The 19,448-nt window shown below is 56.6% G+C and overlaps 2 protein-coding genes across 4 annotated transcripts, besides 4 other annotated features; both read left to right on the top strand.

Moving 5' to 3' along the window:
- LGI3 (leucine rich repeat LGI family member 3) lies at positions 6-9,982 on the top strand. Its single transcript, NM_139278.4, has 8 exons — positions 6-475; positions 1,349-1,420; positions 2,181-2,252; positions 2,599-2,670; positions 2,773-2,844; positions 4,812-4,981; positions 5,159-5,323; positions 7,835-9,982. Exons 1-8 carry the CDS (start codon positions 270-272, stop codon positions 8,650-8,652), a joined length of 1,647 nt encoding a protein of 548 aa, NP_644807.1. The 5' UTR covers positions 6-269; the 3' UTR covers positions 8,653-9,982.
- Positions 14,862-14,991: a silencer, noted in NCBI's record as "silent region_18981". NCBI's record gives its function as "represses an Ori minimal core promoter by ATAC-STARR-seq in GM12878 lymphoblastoid cells {active_cell/tissue: GM12878}" and the evidence as "EXISTENCE:reporter gene assay evidence [ECO:0000049][PMID:35858748]".
- On the top strand, positions 14,905-18,792 carry REEP4 (receptor accessory protein 4). 3 transcript variants are annotated; one of them, NM_025232.4, is made up of 8 exons: positions 14,905-15,361; positions 16,115-16,187; positions 16,564-16,640; positions 16,729-16,849; positions 17,283-17,396; positions 17,751-17,886; positions 18,019-18,173; positions 18,260-18,792. In NM_025232.4, the coding sequence occupies exons 1-8, from the start codon at positions 15,330-15,332 to the stop codon at positions 18,323-18,325; spliced, it is 774 nt and encodes a 257-aa protein (NP_079508.2). In that variant the 5' UTR covers positions 14,905-15,329; the 3' UTR covers positions 18,326-18,792. The 3 variants fall into 3 exon arrangements, with proteins under 3 accessions (NP_079508.2, NP_001303894.1, NP_001303893.1); NM_001316965.2 differs by lacking the exon at positions 17,751-17,886; NM_001316964.2 differs by lacking the exon at positions 18,019-18,173.
- Positions 15,002-15,151: a silencer, noted in NCBI's record as "silent region_18980". NCBI's record gives its function as "represses an Ori minimal core promoter by ATAC-STARR-seq in GM12878 lymphoblastoid cells {active_cell/tissue: GM12878}" and the evidence as "EXISTENCE:reporter gene assay evidence [ECO:0000049][PMID:35858748]".
- Positions 15,916-16,523: an enhancer, noted in NCBI's record as "H3K4me1 hESC enhancer chr8:21997802-21998409 (GRCh37/hg19 assembly coordinates)". NCBI's record gives its function as "activates a minimal SCP1, AML or CMV promoter by ChIP-STARR-seq in naive H9 embryonic stem cells {active_cell/tissue: H9 hESC(naive)}" and the evidence as "EXISTENCE:reporter gene assay evidence [ECO:0000049][PMID:30033119]".
- Positions 16,524-17,132: an enhancer, noted in NCBI's record as "H3K4me1 hESC enhancer chr8:21997193-21997801 (GRCh37/hg19 assembly coordinates)". NCBI's record gives its function as "activates a minimal SCP1, AML or CMV promoter by ChIP-STARR-seq in naive H9 embryonic stem cells {active_cell/tissue: H9 hESC(naive)}" and the evidence as "EXISTENCE:reporter gene assay evidence [ECO:0000049][PMID:30033119]".
- Positions 18,793-19,448: the final 656 nt, after the last annotated feature.

Genomic DNA, 19,448 nt, shown 5'->3' with positions numbered 1-19,448 from the left:
GCCGCAGTCCGCAGCCACCCGGCGCGGTCAGCCCCGGCTGCGGCTCCAGCTCCGCGCTCCGCTCTTCTCTCCCGAGCCGGATCGCGGGAGCGAGCAGGGGAGGGGACCGCAGCCGGCGCCCGAGGGCAGGAGGAGTCCGCAGGCGGGCCCCTGGCTGCGGTAGCAGCTGCCGGTGGCAGGGAGGTGCCAGCCCGCGCGGGGTGGCCCAGCCGCGGGAGCGGTGGGGCGGGGGCCGCGGCCGCCGGCCCCAGGGAGAGATCGCGGGCAGCATGGCGGGGCTGCGGGCCAGGGGGGGCCCGGGGCCGGGGCTGCTGGCGCTCTCCGCGCTCGGCTTCTGCCTCATGCTGCAAGTCAGCGCTAAGAGGCCCCCCAAGACGCCCCCCTGCCCGCCCAGCTGCTCTTGCACCAGGGACACCGCCTTCTGCGTGGACTCAAAGGCGGTGCCCAGGAACCTGCCCTCGGAGGTCATCTCCCTGTGAGTGTCCAGCCCTGGCCTTGGGGGTTGGGGAGGGAGAGGAGGCCGAGGACAGCTCTGGGAGAGGACAGGAGAACCCCCGCTCCCCCTCTTCAGAGTGCGGGGACCAGGGGGACTGCAGGGGTCCTCAGGGCTGGAGATTCCAGGCACCAGTCGGGCAGGGAGTTCTGCAGTTTTGCAGGCTCAGCGGCCATGGGTGGGGAAAGCAGGAGTTCACCACCAAGAATGAATCATCATCACCACGAGCGACAGTGAGACCTACTGTGTGCTGTGCTCCAGACTTGGGGGGGTTGCTTACACGAGCATGTGGGCCCCTGCCTGTGATGTCACACCAAGGGCAGGAGAGTGGCGGCCAGAGCAGGATGAGAATGAGCTATGCCCTCCCAGCACCCTGGCATGGGGCACATGCCCGCCACTGACCAGCCACTTGGCACTCAGCTCGGCCAGCCTGTCACTCACAACAGCCAGCCTCAGGGGCTCCCCCTTGTCTGTGGGACCAGAGAGGTTGTGAGGTCCTTGGGGACCAGGATGCCAGCCCCCACCCCCATGCCCCATCTCTCAACAGCACCCAGCCCATTGTGGGTGTTTGGATGATGATGACAACGGTGTGGGTGATGGAACCTTTTCTTGCCTGAGAGGGAAGCTGAGCCTGGGGCCATGGGTGCCCCAAGAGGCAATAGGGGAGGACCCTGGTGAAGGCAGGCAGTGAATTTGGGAGGAGAAGGGAAAGACACACAGATGGGGGCTAAATTAGGTGAAATGGGGCATTTCCAGGGCAAGTGAGTACAAAAGCTACTGCCCTCCGTGTTCACCTCTCCCTGCCTCAGCACAGCCCTTGCAGACCCCACAGTACTGACTCGGGTGTCCCCGCAGGACCCTGGTGAATGCCGCCTTCTCAGAGATCCAGGATGGAGCGTTCTCCCACCTCCCGCTGCTGCAGTTCTTGTATGGATAGGGCCTTGTGGAAGGGTTGGGGGAACTATGGGGTGGTAGCAGGGGACAAATCCTGGGCTGGGGAGAGGGAGAGTGGACAGAGGCAGCCTCTGCAGACGAAGATGCAGGTGTCCCTTGCTTTTGTTCTGATAGGATGTACCCAAAAGACGGGGCAGCCTTGAGTCAGGGGAGTCGGGGCAGCAGGAGGACAGCTAGGGATGGCACAGAGAAGCCAAGCAAGTGGGATGCGGGGATGGGCTTGGCTGCTCTGGAAACCCCAGAGAATTGGGTGCGATAGCCTGGGCTAGTGCCCAAGGTGGGCACTGTGGGGCCATCTTAGAGACAGGTGATCCCAGGAATCAGAGTTCCCAGAAAGAGCTGGGGGCTGAAAGAAAGGGATGGCAGGAGTGTCTCCAACCCTACAAGATGCCGTCCATGAGGGACAGTTGTCCATGAGGGGCTGGAATGGGACAGAATGAGGGTGGGGGAGAGGGAGAGGAGATGCCACCCGGGAGGACCAGGAGCTGGCTTGACAAGAGAGCTCTGCCTTGGCCCATGTTTAGGATCCAACAGGGACCCTGGGAGCTTCTGGGGCCAGAACAGGCTCCTGCCTGGCCTTGTTGCCCAGGTGGCCCAGGGATTCCCCATGGGGTCCCCAGGGGTAGCAGCAGGGCAGTCATGTCTTGGGGAAGCCCAGGGCTGAGGCAGCGGGCTGGGGGCTGGGGCAGCAGGCACACCCTTGGAAGCTCTAATTCCACCTTTGTCTCTGCAGGTTACTCAACTCCAACAAGTTTACACTGATTGGAGACAACGCCTTCACAGGACTGTCGCACCTGCAGTATCTGTGTGTGGGAGGGAAAGGGGCAATGGGAAAGCAGAAGGGAGGGGGACCCCAGGCCTGGGAGGCCGAGGGACTGGGTAGGGAGTGGATGAGAATGCCGCAGGAAGGGAAGGTGATGGGAGGCGAGAGCCCTTGCATCCCGTGATGGCAGGACCTGAGCAGAAGGTCGTTTCATTCATTTTGCCTCTACCCTACCTGATGCTCTATCTCTATGGCTTGGTGATGCCAGACTCCATTTGGAAACCTGTCTCGGGGACACGGGCTGAAATCTAGGCTGGGGCGTAGGGCGAGTGCTGCTGGGGGTCTGGCATCCTGTGTGAGCACTGAGGCAAGTTCCCGCTTTCCCCAGCTTCATTGAGAACAATGACATCTGGGCACTATCCAAGTTCACCTTCCGAGGACTCAAGTCCTTGACTCACCTGTGAGTACGTCACACATACACACACTGCACCAAAGCCCCACCTCTCCTGTGGCCTTTGGCCTTGCTCATGATCTTCAGATGACCTGGCGGTCTCTTTTGCAGCTCGCTGGCCAACAATAACCTGCAGACACTGCCCAGAGACATCTTCCGGCCCCTGGACATCCTGAATGACTTGTAAGGCCTGAGTCCTGCCTCTTCCAACAGTGCCGCAGAGGGCGCATCCCTGGAGGGAGTGGTGTGGGAGTCAGAATTGGGATGGTCATAAGGTCTTGAGAGGCTGGGAAGGCTTGGGTGGGGGGACCCTGAGGAGGTGAGGAGGTGGAGTTAGATATAGATGGTAGCCTTCCAAATTGGAGTTTCTCTCAAAGTGCACCTGAGACACCATGTGTGTATGTTTTCAAAATGTGTGTGTGTGTTTTTTTTTTTTTTTAATTATAGACGGAGTCTCACTCTGTCACCCAGGCTGGAGTACAGTGGCACAATCTCGGCTCACTGCAACCTCCACCTCTCAGGTTCAAGCGATTCTTCCTCAGCCTCTGGAGTAGCTGGGACTAAGGGACTATAGGTGTGCGCCACCACGCCCGGCTAATTTTTTGTATTTTTAGTATAGACGGGGTTTCACCATGTTGGCCAGACTGGTCTCGAGCTCCTAACCTTGTGATCTGCCAACTTCAGCCTCCCAAAGTGCTGGGAGTACAGGTGTGAGCCACCGCGCTCAGCCAAAAATGTGCTGAGCCACCGTGCTCAGCCAAAAAAAGGCTGGGTGTGGTGGCTCACGCCTGTAATCCCAGCACTTTGGGAGGCCAAGGAGGGCGAATCACCTGAGGTCAGGAGTTCCAGACCAGCCTGGCCAACATGGTGAAACGCCGTCTGTACTAAAAATACAATAATTATCTGGGTGTGGTGGCGGGCGCCTGTAATCCTGGCTACTTGGAAGGTTGAGGCAGGAGAATCACTTCAACCTGGGAGGCAGAGGTTGCAGTAAGCCAAGATCATGCCATTGCACTCCAGCCTGGGCGACAAGAGCAAAACTCAGTCTCAAAATATTAAAAAAAAAAAAAAAAAAGTACTTTAAAAAATTTTTTTTTTTTTTAGACAGAGTCTCGCTCTGTCACCCAGGCTGAAGTGCAGTGGTGCCATCTCAGGTCGCGGCAACCTCTGCCTCCCAGGTTCAAGCAATTCTCCTGCCTCAGCCTCCTGAGTAGCTGGGATTACAGGCATGCACCACCACACCTGGCTAATTTTATATTTTTAATAGAGATGGGGTTTCTCCATGTTGGTCAGGCTGGTCTTGAACTCCCGACCTCAGTTGATCCACTCGCCTCTGCCTCCCAAAGTGCTGAGATTACAGGCCTGAGCCACTGTGCGCGGCCAACATGTGCTTTTTTTTTTTTTTTTTTTGAGACGGAGTCTCACTCTGTTGCCCAGGCTGGAGTGCAATGGCGTGATCTCCGCTCACTGCAACCTCTGCCTCCCGGGTTCAAGCGATTCTCCTGCCTAAGCCTCCCAAGTGCTGGGACCACAGGTGTGCGCCACCATGCCTGGGTAATTTTTGTATTTTTAGTAGAGATGGGATTTCACCACGTTGCCCAGGCTGGTCTCAAACTCTTGACCTTGTGATCTGCCCACCTCAGCCTCCCAAAGTGTTGGGATTACAGGTGTGAGCCACCATGCCCAGCCTGTGCTTTTTAAATGTATGTTTGATTGGACTCTACATTAAAGTCCAATCAGCGGGAGGGGATTTTGAAAGTTTCGAGTAAGGAATATATAGCATATAGTAGTATATAGCAGAGCCACACTCATTTATTGTTATTTATAAGAAAATAAAAGCCTTGGATTGTGGGAGGCTTAGAGGAGCAGGGATGCAACATACAGCTGTGCAGGATGCACACTGCAAAAGCCAACCTAGCCAAAGAAGTCAGCAAGGACTGAAACTGATTCCATACTCTGCTGGCCAAGCCTGTGTCTGTGGGGCTACATCCAGCCAGAGGGAAACTTTTCTCTAATCTTACAAAGATGCATGTGAGCAACTTGCAGCAGCCTTGACCAGCTCTATTTCTGAAAACCTGGAGGGCCTGGGTAGGCAGAGCCCTGAGAGCATGTCTTTCTCTGTGCCCCCCTCCTCTGCCCTCATGATGCAGGGACCTGCGGGGCAACTCACTCAACTGTGACTGCAAGGTGAAGTGGTTGGTGGAGTGGCTGGCACACACCAACACCACGGTGGCACCCATCTACTGCGCCAGCCCGCCCCGCTTCCAGGAGCACAAGGTGCAGGACCTGCCGCTGCGGGAGTTCGATTGCATCACCACAGGTAGGAGGTGCCCCTGCCTTGGGTGTCAGTCCACGCCTACCCCAAGGCAGCTTTACAGACACGAAACCCCCCACCCTGCCCCACAACACCCAGCGGCAGCAGTAAAGCAACCACCATCACCCAAGCAGCCCTTCCCTTCTCCCTCTGGTCTTCAGTAACGCACCTCTCATCTTGCAGATTTTGTGTTGTACCAGACCCTGGCCTTCCCAGCAGTGTCGGCTGAGCCCTTCCTCTACTCCAGTGACCTCTATTTGGCTCTGGCCCAGCCAGGAGTCAGTGCCTGCACCATCCTGAAGTGGGACTATGTTGAGCGGCAGCTTCGAGACTATGATAGAATCCCAGGTACCTGCGCCCAATCTGGTTCTGCTGGCCCTTGCTAGGGGGAGGGGGGAGTGGGCTCCATCGTTCAACCCCATTGAGTTCCTGTAGGTAGAGGGATAGATGAGACATACCCTCTGCCCACAAGAACTTTCCAGTCTTTGGGAAGAGGCCAATGTATACACCGATAACATCCATATGATAGGCAGGTGTTAAGAGGGAGATATGAACATGATGCTCTAGCAGCACAAAGGACAAGCCTACCCTGGGCAATCAGGGAAGGCTTCCTGGTGGAGGGGGGATACCCAAGCTGAGTCTTGAAGAATAGAGGAAAGGGAGAACTCAGAGGTGATCCCCAGGTTTCTGGCTTACGTAATTAGATGGACCGGGAAATGAGGAGGAGACAGGAGTGACTGTTGAGCAGTTTTGGATCTACTGAGTTTGATCTGAGTCTTGAAAGCTGAAGGAGACTTAGCTAGGAGCAAAAAAGTGGAAAGAGTGTTTTGGCAGAGGGAACAGCATGAACGAAGTCAAGGAGGTGTGCAGTAACTTAGTATGTGAGTGTGTATATGTGTGCAAATCATAAGCAGCTTGTATGAAAAGGGATAAGGTTCAAGGTGGGGAGTGGCAACGAGATATTGATGAGTACCAGGTCATTGACAGGGTTTAAGCAGAATGTGTGATCCAGTCTGCATTTTAGAAAGCTTCTTGCATGGAAAAAGGCTAGGTGTGGGGCCATACATGAGGGCAGAACAGTAGGGGGATATGTGCCTGTCTGCTAGAGGGGTGCTGGAGCCTGGACACGAGACAGTAGCAGTGGGGATGGAGGGAGATATTTAGAAAGGAGGGTTAAACCGCCAGGTGCGGTGGCTCACGCCTGTAATCCCAGCACTTTGGGAGGCCGAGGCGGGTGGATCACGAGGTCAGGAGATTGAGACCATCCTGGCTAACACGGTGAAACCCTGTCTCTACTAAAAATACAAAAAATTAGCTGGGCGTGGTGGCAGGTGCCTGTAGTCCCAGCTACTCGGGAGGTTGAGGCAGGAGAATGTCATGAACCTGGGAGGCAGAGCTTGCAGCGAGCCAAGATCACACCACTGCGGTCCAGCCTGGGTGACAGAGCGAGACTCCATCTCAAAAAAAAAAAAAAAAAAAAAAAAATAGAAGGCTTAAACTGACACAAGATGAAATAGAAAACTTACATTGCCCTGTCTCCATTAAGGAACTTGAAGTCAGTATTAAAGAAAAAAACAAAAACAAAAACAAAACACCTTCTCCTAAAAAAACCTCCTGGCCCAGAGTGTTTCCCTGGTGAATGCTATCAAACATTTAAGGAGGAACTAACACCAATCTACATACACACTATTAGAAAGTAGAAGGGAAGGTTGTTGGGACTTGGGGACTGATCAGGGAAGGGTGAGTGGAGGAGACAAAGGTGTTAGGGATGACTGCCAGGTTTCTGGATTGGGAGACTAGTGGAGCCACAGCTGAAATCAAGAACAGAGGAGGAGCAGGGCAGGCTCAGCGATGGGTATGGAGCTGAATTGTGAGTTGTGAGTCCTGACTGAGTTTTAGGTGCTTGTGTGGGTGTGTGGGCCAGGAGAGTCTGAGGGAAGATCAGGAGCTGGGGTGTGGCATGGGGGTCATTAGCATCTGGGCAGGGCAGACCAAACCCCAAAGAAGGTATTTAGGCAGTGACTGCCAGAGCCTGAGGCTCTGCATAAATTTCTCTTGGGGGAAAGGTGGGGTCATAGTGAGAAGGAAAGAGGGGTGAACTGGGGATGTCAAAGTGGAGATGCCGGGCAGCAGCTGAAGACCCTGGGACAGGTGAGCAGTGTATGGTTTCATGTGCTTGGTGCCCGAGAAGGGCTCCAATGAAGCTGATTGTGAGTATAGGTGCACATGGGCATGCATTCTTGTATATAAAAGCCCTTTCAAAAGTGAGAACTCTTGGGAGGATGTGTTTTCATGCACTGTGATGCAAACAGCAAGGTGTCTTGGGTATACCTAAGATTTCTCTCCCCGCTGTGGATCCACTCAAATTCTCCCTCCCTTCCCTGCCTTGCCACTGCCAGTGGGGTAGCTTTGGGCAAGTCACTTGCTCTCTCTGAGCCTCAGTTTCTTTCTGTGTGAAATGGACAAAATCACAGGGTCCTTTCCAGCGTGATGAATTCCTCATCGATGTAACATGTGCTTACATTCAGCACAGTGACTGCACGCAATAAAAATTCAATTACTGACATTATGGTTAAGCAACGAGTCACTATCGAGGGACACTTATTTTGTGCTATGTCAGCTTATATTTGAACCCTAGGGTTATGGGTGGAACAAGGGTGATATTAAAACTGGTTATTAGCTGTGAAACAACTGGAAAGCATTGAGCGCTTAGTGGATGAACTTCAGTGTGGGTGGAATGGTATAGCGCAGAGTCTTAGTCCTGGCCCAAGTTTGGAAGGGACTGGCCTTCTCCAAGGGGGTTGGATGGAGTGGGAGCCGCCGGCCTGCCTGATGCTGTCTGCCTCTGTCCTGGCACAGCCCCCTCTGCAGTGCACTGCAAGCCGATGGTGGTGGACAGCCAGCTGTACGTGGTCGTGGCCCAGCTGTTTGGCGGCTCTTACATTTACCACTGGGATCCCAACACCACGCGCTTCACCAGGCTGCAAGACATTGACCCGCAGCGCGTGCGCAAGCCTAACGACCTAGAAGCCTTCCGCATCGACGGTGACTGGTACTTTGCCGTGGCTGACAGCTCCAAGGCAGGCGCCACCAGCCTCTACCGCTGGCACCAGAATGGCTTCTACTCCCACCAGGCACTGCACCCCTGGCACCGTGACACCGACCTGGAGTTTGTGGACGGCGAGGGCAAGCCACGGCTGATTGTGTCCAGCAGCTCCCAGGCACCCGTCATCTATCAGTGGAGTCGCACCCAGAAGCAGTTTGTGGCCCAGGGTGAGGTGACCCAGGTGCCTGATGCCCAAGCTGTGAAACACTTTCGTGCCGGCCGCGACAGCTACCTGTGCCTCAGCCGCTACATTGGCGACTCCAAGATCCTGCGCTGGGAGGGTACCCGCTTCTCGGAGGTGCAGGCCCTGCCCTCCCGGGGCTCGCTGGCCCTGCAGCCCTTCCTTGTGGGTGGCCGCCGCTACCTGGCACTGGGCAGTGATTTCTCCTTCACCCAGATCTACCAGTGGGATGAGGGACGACAGAAGTTTGTACGGTTCCAGGAGCTGGCTGTGCAGGCTCCTCGGGCCTTCTGCTACATGCCTGCTGGGGACGCCCAGCTACTCCTGGCCCCCAGCTTCAAGGGACAGACGCTGGTGTATAGACACATTGTGGTGGATCTCAGTGCCTAGGGGGTGCCGAGGCCTCTGGTCTCCTCAGGGTGGCCACTGGAGGATGGGTGGGGGCCTCTGTGAGCACCACGTATGCCTGTGTGAAGACAAGCGACCAACCTGCATTCATGCCCTTGTATCCGCACACGCCCAGTGTGTACAGGCGCACCCCGTGGACTGGCCCAGGAGGACGTGCATCATCACTGCAATCAGCATGAACACCAGGCACCCCTGGGACACCTAACGCCCAGTTCCCGTGACCCCAACTGCAGGCCCCCCCTACTCTGCAGCCTTTCCCATGCTCTGCCCCCTGTCTCATGCACGAGTGGTGCGGGGTGCTGGGAGCGAGGGGGGCCGCATCCTCCTGTCCTTGTGCTTCTCCTTCTGCCCCTCTGGTCTTTCCTGTTGGTGCTCCAGGCATTGTTTACCTGCTCTTGCTCCCCGCTGTAGCCCACAGCCATATCTGTCATGCTTCCCCGGGGCCACTCACCCCTGCCCCACCCCGTCTGCATGCTCACATGGACGCGGACGGACACACTCATTACACACTCACACGCCCCGACTGCACCCGGTGTCCATCTATAAACATGTCAGGGCACGTGTGCATACAAGCAGATTCAGCACTGCCTACCAGGCTCTCCTGTTACCTTGCCTCTCTGCTTGGAGGGGGCCCCCTCTGCTCACCCCCAGCGTGCCCCCCCCGGAACTGATAAGGATGAGAATGGTGGTGCCAGCTTCTGAGGGCCTGCTTGGCCTCCTGGGGGCAAAGCCCCTCTGCCCGAAGCAATAACAACAGCAGCAGAAGCAATCCCGGGGAGCTGCCAGGGGTGTCTGTCTCTGTTCTCCTTGGCGTTTCCTTCATGGCCGTGAATCCCAGCTCACCCATGGACAGAAGACCTCCCCTCATCTGAAAGCCTTTCTGCCTTCCTTCCTGTAGCTGTCGCTTTCTCAGGCTTGGACTGTCCCCTGGTTCACCCTGTCTTTGGGATGTGGCCCTTGAGCTGGGCGGGCTCCTTGGGTGGATTAGAGAGCTGGCCGAGCTGCAAGCACCTGAGTTACCTGCGAGGGTGCCCAGAGTGGAGCTTGGCCTGAGGGCGTGTTGCAGCCCTGGCCCCACCAGTCCACAGAGGCCCCCAGGAGCACTGCCTTTCAGTGGACCGGGTGGGGCCTGGTGGGAGGGGCCCCACTAGCTGAGCTTCTGCTGCCCTCTGCTGTCTGCTGAGATGCCAGGCTAGTGGAGAGGGCACACCATGTGCCCAAATGGTGTGATGCTCCTTGTAGCAGGATACCAGGGTACTGGGGGGCAATGCTATGATTAACTTGCTTCAAATAAAAAGTTCCCGCCCCATAACCGGCTCTCAGGTGTCATCAAAATGTTTCATTGAAAACGGAGCCTGGCCCTGCCCTGCCGCCCACGGGAGGCCTGGCAATGGTTTCCAGACCTTCTTCCTCCCAGCTCCCTTCTTTCTGAGATGTGGGCATCCCCAAGGTCAGCTGGGGCTGGGGGCAGGAGTTCACAGGGATGACACTCAGGTGCTGGTGTGATGAGTCTCCAGCACCTGGGGCTGACTCACAGCTAGTGTTCCTTCCTGGAGATTATAGTCCAGGGACGCGCGAAGACTTGAGTCTTTCCTGCCGTCAGGTCAACTCCAACCAGCAAGGCTGAGGATGATCTCAGCAGTCCCTCTTCTTTTACCCCGATCCCCGTTCCTCCACTGGGGAAATGTCTGTCATTGCCGCCACATCCACCCAGATGAGGCCTTGGAGTCCTAGGTGACATCTGGATCTCTCTTCTCCCATATTTCATAAGCCACCAAGTTCTCTCCATTCTTTGTCCCAAAGGTTTGCTAGATGGGCACTTTTTTGTTTTGCTCTTTCCCAGCTCAAAGCTTTGTCCAAACACTCTTCATCGCCCATTGTCTTGGGTCCCTTGCCAGCCCCCACCAACCCGCTTCTCAGTCTGATTTTTTTTTTTTTTTTTGGAGATGGAGTTTCGCTCTTGTTGTCCAGGCTGGAGTGCAATGGCGCGATCTCGGCTCACCACAACCTCTGCCTCCCAGGTTCAAGCAATTCTCCTGCCTCAGCCTCCTGAGTAGCTGGGATTACAGTCATGCACCACCACACCTGGCTAATTTTGTATTTTTAATAGAGACGGGGTTTCTCCATGTTGGTCAGGCTGATCTTGAACTCCCGACCTCAGGTGATCTGCTGGCCTCAGCCTTCCAAAGTGCTGGGATTATAGGCGTGAGCCACTGAGCCTGGCTTTTTTTTTTTTTTTTTTTAAAGATGGAGTTTCTCTCTTGTAGCCCAGGCTGGAGTGAGGTGGCCCTGTCTTGGCTCACTACAATCTCCGCCTCCCAGGTTCAAGTGATTATCCTGCCTCAGCCTCTTGAGTAGCTGGGACTACAGGTGCCCACCACCACGCCTGGTTAATTTTTGTATTTTTAGGAGAGACGGGGTTTCACCATGTTGGCCAGGCTAGTCTCAAAGTCCCAACCTCAGGTGATCCGCCTGTCTCGGCCTCCCAAAGTGCTGGGATTACAGACGTGAGCCACCACGCTCAGCCATCGGTCTGATCTTTCTAACACACACTTTCCTCCTGTCCTCCCCTGCTCAGGAACCTGCCTTGGCTTCCTGCTCAACAAACCCATGAGCCTCTGCCCACCATGAAGGTTCCTGTGACCTGGTCCCACCGTACACACCCAAGCCCTGTGGGCAGTCAGGGTCCCTCAACATCTCTGTGAGTGGAGTCGAGAGAGTCTAAGACAGTCAGATGGGGGCCGGGTGGGGGACAGTGCTCAGGGTGTCAGTGCAAGTAATGGGGTCTCGGGGACAGCACACTGAATGGCAAAACAGGTGTTGTCAAGCTGTGGGGACCCCTTTTCTCCTCTTCCCCCATGGGCTTGAGTAAATGAAATCCTTTTGTGGCCTTGTGTGGGTTGGTGACAGTGTAAGGGACAGGGGATGGAAACGGGGGAAATGATAGATCCTTGGGCAGTGGTGCTTGCTGTGTGACCCTGGGCAGGTCAAATCCCTTCTCTGAGTCTCCAGGTTTTCATTTGTCCTCCAGAGCCCCTCTCAGCTCTCGCATATCACAAAAACCCTTCGTTTCTCTCTCTTCAGCGAGCACCTGTGAGCAGCTGTGCACAGAGGAGTGGGGTCTGGAGCCTGGATAACATGGGTGTGAATTCTGGCTCAGTCCCTTTCCATGGTGTGAGATTTCAAGCAAGTCAGCTGATTTCCCTGAGCTTCAATTTCTCCTTCTGTGAAGCAGATTTAAAAACCCCACTTCATGGGTTCCTGATTCTGCCAGCCGGGTGAAACCAGCTAGTAACATTCAGCCACGTTACTTAGCCTATTTGTGCCTCGGTTTTTCTTATTTATAAAATGAGTATAATCGTGATACCTACCTGACAGGGTTTGTTGTTTGTTTTTTCCAGCTTAGGCTGGAGTGCAGTAGTGCGATCTTGAGTCACTGCAACCTCAGCCTCCTAGGTTCAATTAATTCTCCTGCCTCAGCCTTCCAAGTAGCTGGGACTACAGGAGCACGCCCCCACCCCTGACTAATTTTCATATTTTTAGTAGAGATGGGTTTCACCATGTTCACCAGACTGGTCTCGAACTCCTGACCTCAATGATCTGCCGTCCTCGGCCTCCCAAAGTGTTGGGATTACTACAGGCATGAGCCACCGCATCCTACCCTGACAGGATTATTTCTCATGAGAGTGAAATGCATTAGTATATGTAAGTCCATTTGTATAGTGTGTCCAGCACATGATTATGATTTGCCTTGGTCTATGGGAATATATGAAAACAGAAGTGGCTCAGAGAGGGGTGTTTTGTGCAAGAGGAGGAGGTGGATCTTTGGAGAGAACTGTCTGTGGGTGATGGTTCCTCACCCATCCTCAGTCTTGGAGCCCCTGTGCCCCATATCTTACCTGCAGCCTCTGACCTGGCCTCCTCACCCCCAGCAATAGGTGACTTACCTGCTTTTCACCTCCTCAAATATGCTCTTAGCTTAGCAGGCACCTCCATCATTCTGGGGAGGCCTGTCCTTCTTTTCCAAATGGGAAACGGGCCCTTATCCTGTGCTTGGGAGAGGTTGCCAGGGAAAGTGGGTTGAGTCTCCCAGACACGCTGGCACTCTGCTGCCCAGTAGAAAGATAAATATCACTTTGACAGCTGCTGCCCCCAGGGGGGAGCTCTTCTGAGGGGTGGGAGGCACTTTCCTCCCTTGGCCCGAGTGCCTGGCTTTCTGTGTGTGCCTGCTGGGTCACTTGCCCTGGGGCTTGTCCACGTCCAGAGTGCTGCTTAGCAACCCAGTGGAATTGGGTGACTGTGTCAACAGCTCAGGACCAAAGGCTGCAAGAGGCAAGGTCTACTCACTCTGCCAAGACCAGGGATGGTGACACTCCTCAGCTGCCAGCCTCTTGCCCTCCGTGCTGAGCCTTGCTGTCAGCGCAGACCTCTGACATCTCTTCTCTGAGATTTCCCAAGCACAGGCATTGGGACCAGGAGTCTCCATACGGGAGACCATCCCAGCTGAATGAGCTTTGGGCGGGCCCAGGTAATGTTTCCCAGCAAATGGGGGTAGACAGAGGCCTGTGATGCTGAGGTCAGGTGCGTGGCCCCAGAAGGCAGCCAGCAGGGAAGGGACAGTTCTGCAGCACGCACCAAAGGACCCGAGGCTCACGTGTGCAGTGACCTCCTGAGTCATGGATGTCCCTTTCAGCTGCTCCCCTATTCAGTCACAGCTTTCCTCCTTCAGGGAGACCCAGGACACTTTTCACCTAGAGAACCATGTCTGTGCCTAAAGATGGACAGTGGCTGGGGCCTTCCTTAGGAGTTCCTCTAGCCCTTGGCCTTTTTGGTTACTCCAATGTGTGTGTGTAAGGGGGGACAGGTAAATGTGAGGGTTGGTTAAGAGAGGAGAGGGAGACATGGGGCCTCGGGGAAGTTTCTCCTGTGGGCTGGTTTCACTGCTGGCTCTCACACCCAGCAATACCAATAAAACTGATGACAGTAATTAAGACCATATAATCACCGTGTGTTTATTTATCCCCCAGAAGCCTCCTTTCCCTGGCCCCATGATTACCTATTCCATCCTTATGATAGCTGGTGGGGGTTAACTGTGGCTCCAATAAAAAGCAGTAACTGCCTGTGTTTCCACCCCACATGCCCGGACAGCTTTGCTCCCACCCTCTGCAAGGTGGGGGGACACTATTTTCAGAGGGAACAACAGAGGCAGTAAGCTGAAGATGTCAAAAAGAATGAAACCTCACAGGGCAAGTAGTAGAAGCAGCAACGTTTGCCTTCTTTTTTAGAGCCTTCCCCCTTCTTCCTGGCATCTGCCTCCCTCCCAGAGGAACTTATCCGGTTCCATGGCCCTCTGCAGGGCCACTCAGCCTGCAGCTGCTGATCTCTCAGAAGACTGATCAAGCCAAGCATGTAGCCACCAGCCAGCAATAAATACCACTGGGTGATACCAGGAAAGTTACTTTTCACCACTGAGCATCCTATTTCCTACATGGTTAAAAGAAGTTTGCAAAGACTAAGACCTTGCGTGCAAACGTGCATTACAAAATGGCAATGGTTGATACTACTATTAAGGGCCCAGGGTTATTTGTGTACTTGGCTCAGAGGAATAGGTGGAATTTCAAACTTCTGCTGAAGGAGTGTGGGAGCTGAGAGCTCTACCCAGAATGCCTCAAATCATCGCGGTCAGCCTGCCCCGGAGTCAGGGATCTGGAAAGGCATCCCAGAGAGAAGGGAACCCCTGAAACCTGGTGGGGCAAAAAGTCCCTCAGGTTCCCTCTCCCCCCACACCTCCCCCCTTTCCCTCCTGGACCCACTGGTGTGAGACCCGGACTTGCTGGCGCTCAGCCAAGCTTCCTTCCAGCTCCTGACTGAGCCTGCAGAGGAGATCCTTCCCTCTACCCCACCAACCGCATCTCATGCCTTTACCCGGTTCACAGAGGGGAAAATGAGGCGAGAGGGAAAGACACCGGGAAAAGCCAGTGAAGGGTCGCTTAAACTCTGGAGTCCAGATTTTCTTTGTGTGCCGACCCCCGCACTCCCCCTGCTTTTTTGTTACAGCTTCCCACACGCTAATCTTTCCGATTGGGAAGGTGGCTCCACTGTGGGCCCCACGCGCGAGTCCCGCGGCACATCGCCCCTTTAAGGGGCCGGCCTCTCGCCTCCCTGACCTCGCCCCGCCCCCTCCGGGGCTACACTGCGCCTGCGTGGCAAGCCGGAGCCCTGGGGTTGGGCAGCACTCGGTTCCGTGCAACTTTCAAGTGAGTTGCGAACTCCGCCCTGTAGGCCGGTGCTGGTGGCCCGGCGCGCTGGAACCGCGGCGACCCGCTCCAGCGCGGGACCAGCAGCAAGGGCCGAGCGCCAGGTTCTCCGCGGCAGAAAGGGCGGGTGGGAGCTGTAACTGCCCCGGCCGCGGGGCGCGCCCGCTCCCAAGTCGGCTTCCTCCCCGCCGGGGCCGCTTTGCCTCGGGTCTCCCCATTCTCCAGGTCCCCTGAACTGCACAGTCGGAGGCCGTGGGCGGCGGGCTCTGCCTCCGCCGAGGGACAGCCGGATCGCCCCTCTGCTTCCCGCAACTGCCCTGATCACCCCCCGTCCCAGCCCTTGAGTGAACGTCCTTCTGAGCGGCTTCCTGGGGTCCTCCCCACGTCCCAAAGGCCGGCAAGATGGTGTCCTGGATGATCTGTCGCCTGGTGGTGTGAGTATGGCCGCCCTCAGACCTCCTCTACCCCGGGGTGCCGTCCCGCCCCTGTGGTGGAAGCTGTGGACGTCTAGTGGGAGGAGGAACTTTCTGAGCTCCACCCTCCAGCACTCCATGCAAGGGTTAACGGACCTGTGGGCTTGCACGCGGTGTCTGGGGCACCGCAGGCTACCCGCCCCACCAAGCCTCGTTGGCTGAGAACGACCCCTGCCGCACGCCACACACACTGCAAACAGATGCGTGGAGCCGAGGGCCACAGGCCTACCTTGCTGCCCCTTGGCAAACACAAGGTGATATGGCACGTTGTGGGCGGAGAATCCAGGTGCCTGCTTGCCATCTGAGCAGTCACATGACTCACCATCCTATTCCTCACCTTTGAGTATGCCAACATCTGGCTCACATAGCCCTATCTGCAACCCAGCAGTGTCAGGTCTGGTGACCCTGGGCCTGATTGCATGCCCATGGGAGGGGACAGTCTGGTGTTCTCACCCACTTCGTGGAGTGGCTGTCCTCTCACTCCATCATGCACCCATGGGCCACCGGTGCAGGCCTGGGCAGGCTTGGGATGTTTGTAAACAGCAGGGTGGGGAGGTGGCCTCCAGGGCTCTGACTCAGGCACGGGTTGTACAAGCCAAGCGAGAAAAACAGGGCGGGTACTGCCACCTTGCACCCCAGTGGGGGGAAATGGCCACTTGGCAAGGTGGGAGTGGGGCATGGTGCCCCTCACACTCCCCATGGCTGCTCTTCCAGGCTGGTGTTTGGGATGCTGTGTCCAGCTTATGCTTCCTATAAGGCTGTGAAGACCAAGAACATTCGTGAATATGTGAGCGTGGGGGTTTGGGTGTGTTTAATAGGACTTGGTGAGGTGGGGAGGGTCTCAGTTGGCCTCTCCCTCCTCCAGGGGCAAGGCTGTGTGGCACATCCTGAGTGGAGTGGGGAGGGAGAGAGAATGGGCCCTGTTCAAGAGGGTGTAGATAGAGGGCAGGCCATCGGGGTGCCTGTGGAAGATCTGGTGGGTGAAGCTTGTTGGAGGCGGGCATAGGAATGAGCAGCAGTTTCTCAGAGCTCCTGTCCAGCCATGTGTGGGGGAAAGCAGCTATGCAGCCGGACAGGCTCCCTGGAATCTCTGGGCTGGGCTGGCCTGGGTTGGGAGTTGGTGCTGCAGGCCCCATGCTGACCTCTGGGCGCTCACCCCACAGGTGCGGTGGATGATGTACTGGATTGTTTTTGCACTCTTCATGGCAGCAGAGATCGTTACAGACATTTTTATCTCCTGGTATGGACGCAGGGTCCGCAAGCCATGGGTCAGGGGTGGCCCCCCCAGCCCTGCTCCTTGGCTCACCCTGCCCCTTGTGCTGTGACAGGTTCCCTTTCTACTATGAGATCAAGATGGCCTTCGTGCTGTGGCTGCTCTCACCCTACACCAAGGGCGCCAGCCTGCTTTACCGCAAGTTTGTCCACCCGTCCCTGTCCCGCCATGAGAAGGTACCCCAGGGGGAAGCGGGAAGGGAGGCTTAGGGGTGGGTATGAGGGAAAGAGCCCTGGACCTGGGATTTAGGATGCTGGGGACACCGGGGTTCTATCCCAGTCCTGCTGCTATTGAGGGGCAGGACCTTGACAGGGCCCAGCCTACCTCATCTTCTGGGATAATCAGGTGGGGGTACACATGAATGACCTTTGAGGATGGAAATTGGTTTGGGGGTAGTGGTGGCGGCAGCTGGAGCATGGCCACTCATGGAGGTGTGAGCGGGTGGCAGCCCTGCTCTTGGTCTGTGTTTGTGGCCCGGATTTGTGGCTCTGGGCACCAGGTGGGGCTGGGCTGGGCTGGGTGGCGCCACAACCAGTGGCTTCTCAGAATCTGCAGAGGAAGAGGGACTCTGGCTGTCCACCTGAGCTCTCCTCCCCATTGGGTCCACAGGAGATCGACGCGTACATCGTGCAGGCCAAGGAGCGCAGCTACGAGACCGTGCTCAGCTTCGGGAAGCGGGGCCTCAACATTGCCGCCTCCGCTGCTGTGCAGGCTGCCACCAAGGTGCTCTGGGCCCCCAGCCCTCCAGCAGCCCCCATCCCACCCCTAAGGCCCTTTGGGCTCATTCAGCTCCTCTGCCAGGGAGCCCAGAGATGGCAGCCGGGGAGCAGGGGTGAGAAGGTGACGGGGGGGTATTGGCAGAAGCGTGGAGCTGGAGTCAGACCTTCCTTCCTGGCTCTGGCACTGAGCGTAAGCAGCGGCTCCTGCTCTCTGACTTTGGTTTCCTGTTGGTGCCACATTGGCGCGGGGCCAGAAGCTTGCTGAGCAGTTTTCACTTCTGCGTCTCAGCTCCGGTGATTAGCTGGTTGGCCAATATCCCTGGGCAGCCTCCCCGCTGAAGCCTCTTCCCCCTCGCAGAGTCAGGGGGCGCTGGCCGGCAGGCTGCGGAGCTTCTCCATGCAGGACCTGCGCTCCATCTCTGACGCACCTGCCCCTGCCTACCATGACCCCCTCTACCTGGAGGACCAGGTGTCCCACCGGAGGCCACCCATTGGTGAGCGGGCAGAGGGGCCCAGAGCCATGCCAGGAGGGATGGCTTCCTTCACTCACACCATGGCTTCCCCCAAGGCTCGAGGAAGGGCTGGCCTGGTCGCAGGCTTTCAGCTTCACCTCCTCCTCCACACAGGGTACCGGGCCGGGGGCCTGCAGGACAGCGACACCGAGGATGAGTGTTGGTCAGATACTGAGGCAGTCCCCCGGGCGCCAGCCCGGCCCCGAGAGAAGCCCCTAATCCGCAGCCAGAGCCTGCGTGTGGTCAAGAGGAAGCCACCGGTGCGGGAGGTCAGTGTGGGAGGACGACAGGAGGGAGGAGGGCTCTGCTGGCTGGTGCTCCCCACACCCTCATGCTGTGCCTCCCCTTTCCCCAGGGCACCTCGCGCTCCCTGAAGGTTCGGACGAGGAAAAAGACTGTGCCCTCAGACGTGGACAGCTAGGGTCTGCTGCATCTGCCCCCTTCTTACCTCGTGCCCTGCAGGGCTCCAGGGCTATTTGGAGGGACCTTGGGCTGCACATCTGGCCTGCCTGCACCAGCTGCCTGGGCCCCACCCTCCTGACTCCTGCTGATGGTTAAGGGCCGGGAGCAGATGCTGCCAAGGCCACATGCAGGGATGCACCCACAATGTACCAAAGCAGGCTGGGCCCAGGGTTCTATTTATTGCCTTGCTCTGCCCTCTCCCTTCCCCGGTTGTGGGACAAGAGCCCTCCCTGAACCCCTGCAACCCTCCCTGAACCCCTGCAAATGAAACCAAACGTCCACCTGGGTGTGTTCATTCCTTCCTGTCCTTCAAAGTACTTGATAGCCTTTCATAAGGCCTGGCACATGTGTCCTGGTTGTGTGTGTGTGTGTTGGTGAGTGAGGTCAGGTTTGCGAGTGTTTTGATAAATAAATACATAAAGGGGCTCTGTTTCTCCTGATTCTTACTCCCGTTGCTCGCCTCACACCCTTGAAATGGGACAGCCCAGTCCTAGCCTAGGTCTAAGGCTGAAGGAGCCCAGTCCTCTGGGGGAGACAGAACCATTGACAGAGAGTTGTGATGCAGCACATGGTTTCACGAAGGAGCTTTTGGGGAGTTTTGAGAGCACTGATGGGAAAGTGGGGACGAGTCCAGAGGACTGGTCAGAACCCGAAACTTCAGTTAGGCCTTGGCAGGAAGGTGCAGCTATAGAGAAACCAGTGGGAGCACAGGCAGGAGGGGCTTGGGGCAGCACGTTAGTCCCATAGGGAGGTCGAAGCTAGGCAGAGGAGACCTGGGGAGGAGTATCTCCTCCAGGAGCCTGGAAGAAGGAGCCCCCTGGGGCAGCTCTGGGGACATTAAGTTCTGTAAACAGTCAGGTACCCGCAGGGGCACCATTGCACCTCTGAGGAGTGGCCACGAGAGGGCAGCAGTGTCTGGGATCTGGGCTGCCCCCGGCTTCCAGGTCAAGGAGGGTGGGGTTGGGAGACTGGCCAGAGCCTCGCCCTGCTGGGCCTGGCGGAACTCAGTGGCCCTCCCTGCTGCTTGTGGTCACTGGTCCTTGGCCTGCCCCATCCAAGGAGTCTCTGCTCTCCTGAGACCA

The sequence above is a fragment of the Homo sapiens genome, chromosome 8 (assembly GCF_000001405.40).
Source record: "Homo sapiens chromosome 8, GRCh38.p14 Primary Assembly".
NCBI classification, from domain to species: Eukaryota; Metazoa; Chordata; class Mammalia; order Primates; family Hominidae; genus Homo; species Homo sapiens.
Note: the sequence above shows the minus strand (reverse complement) of the source record. Positions and strands in the feature narration are given on the sequence as shown.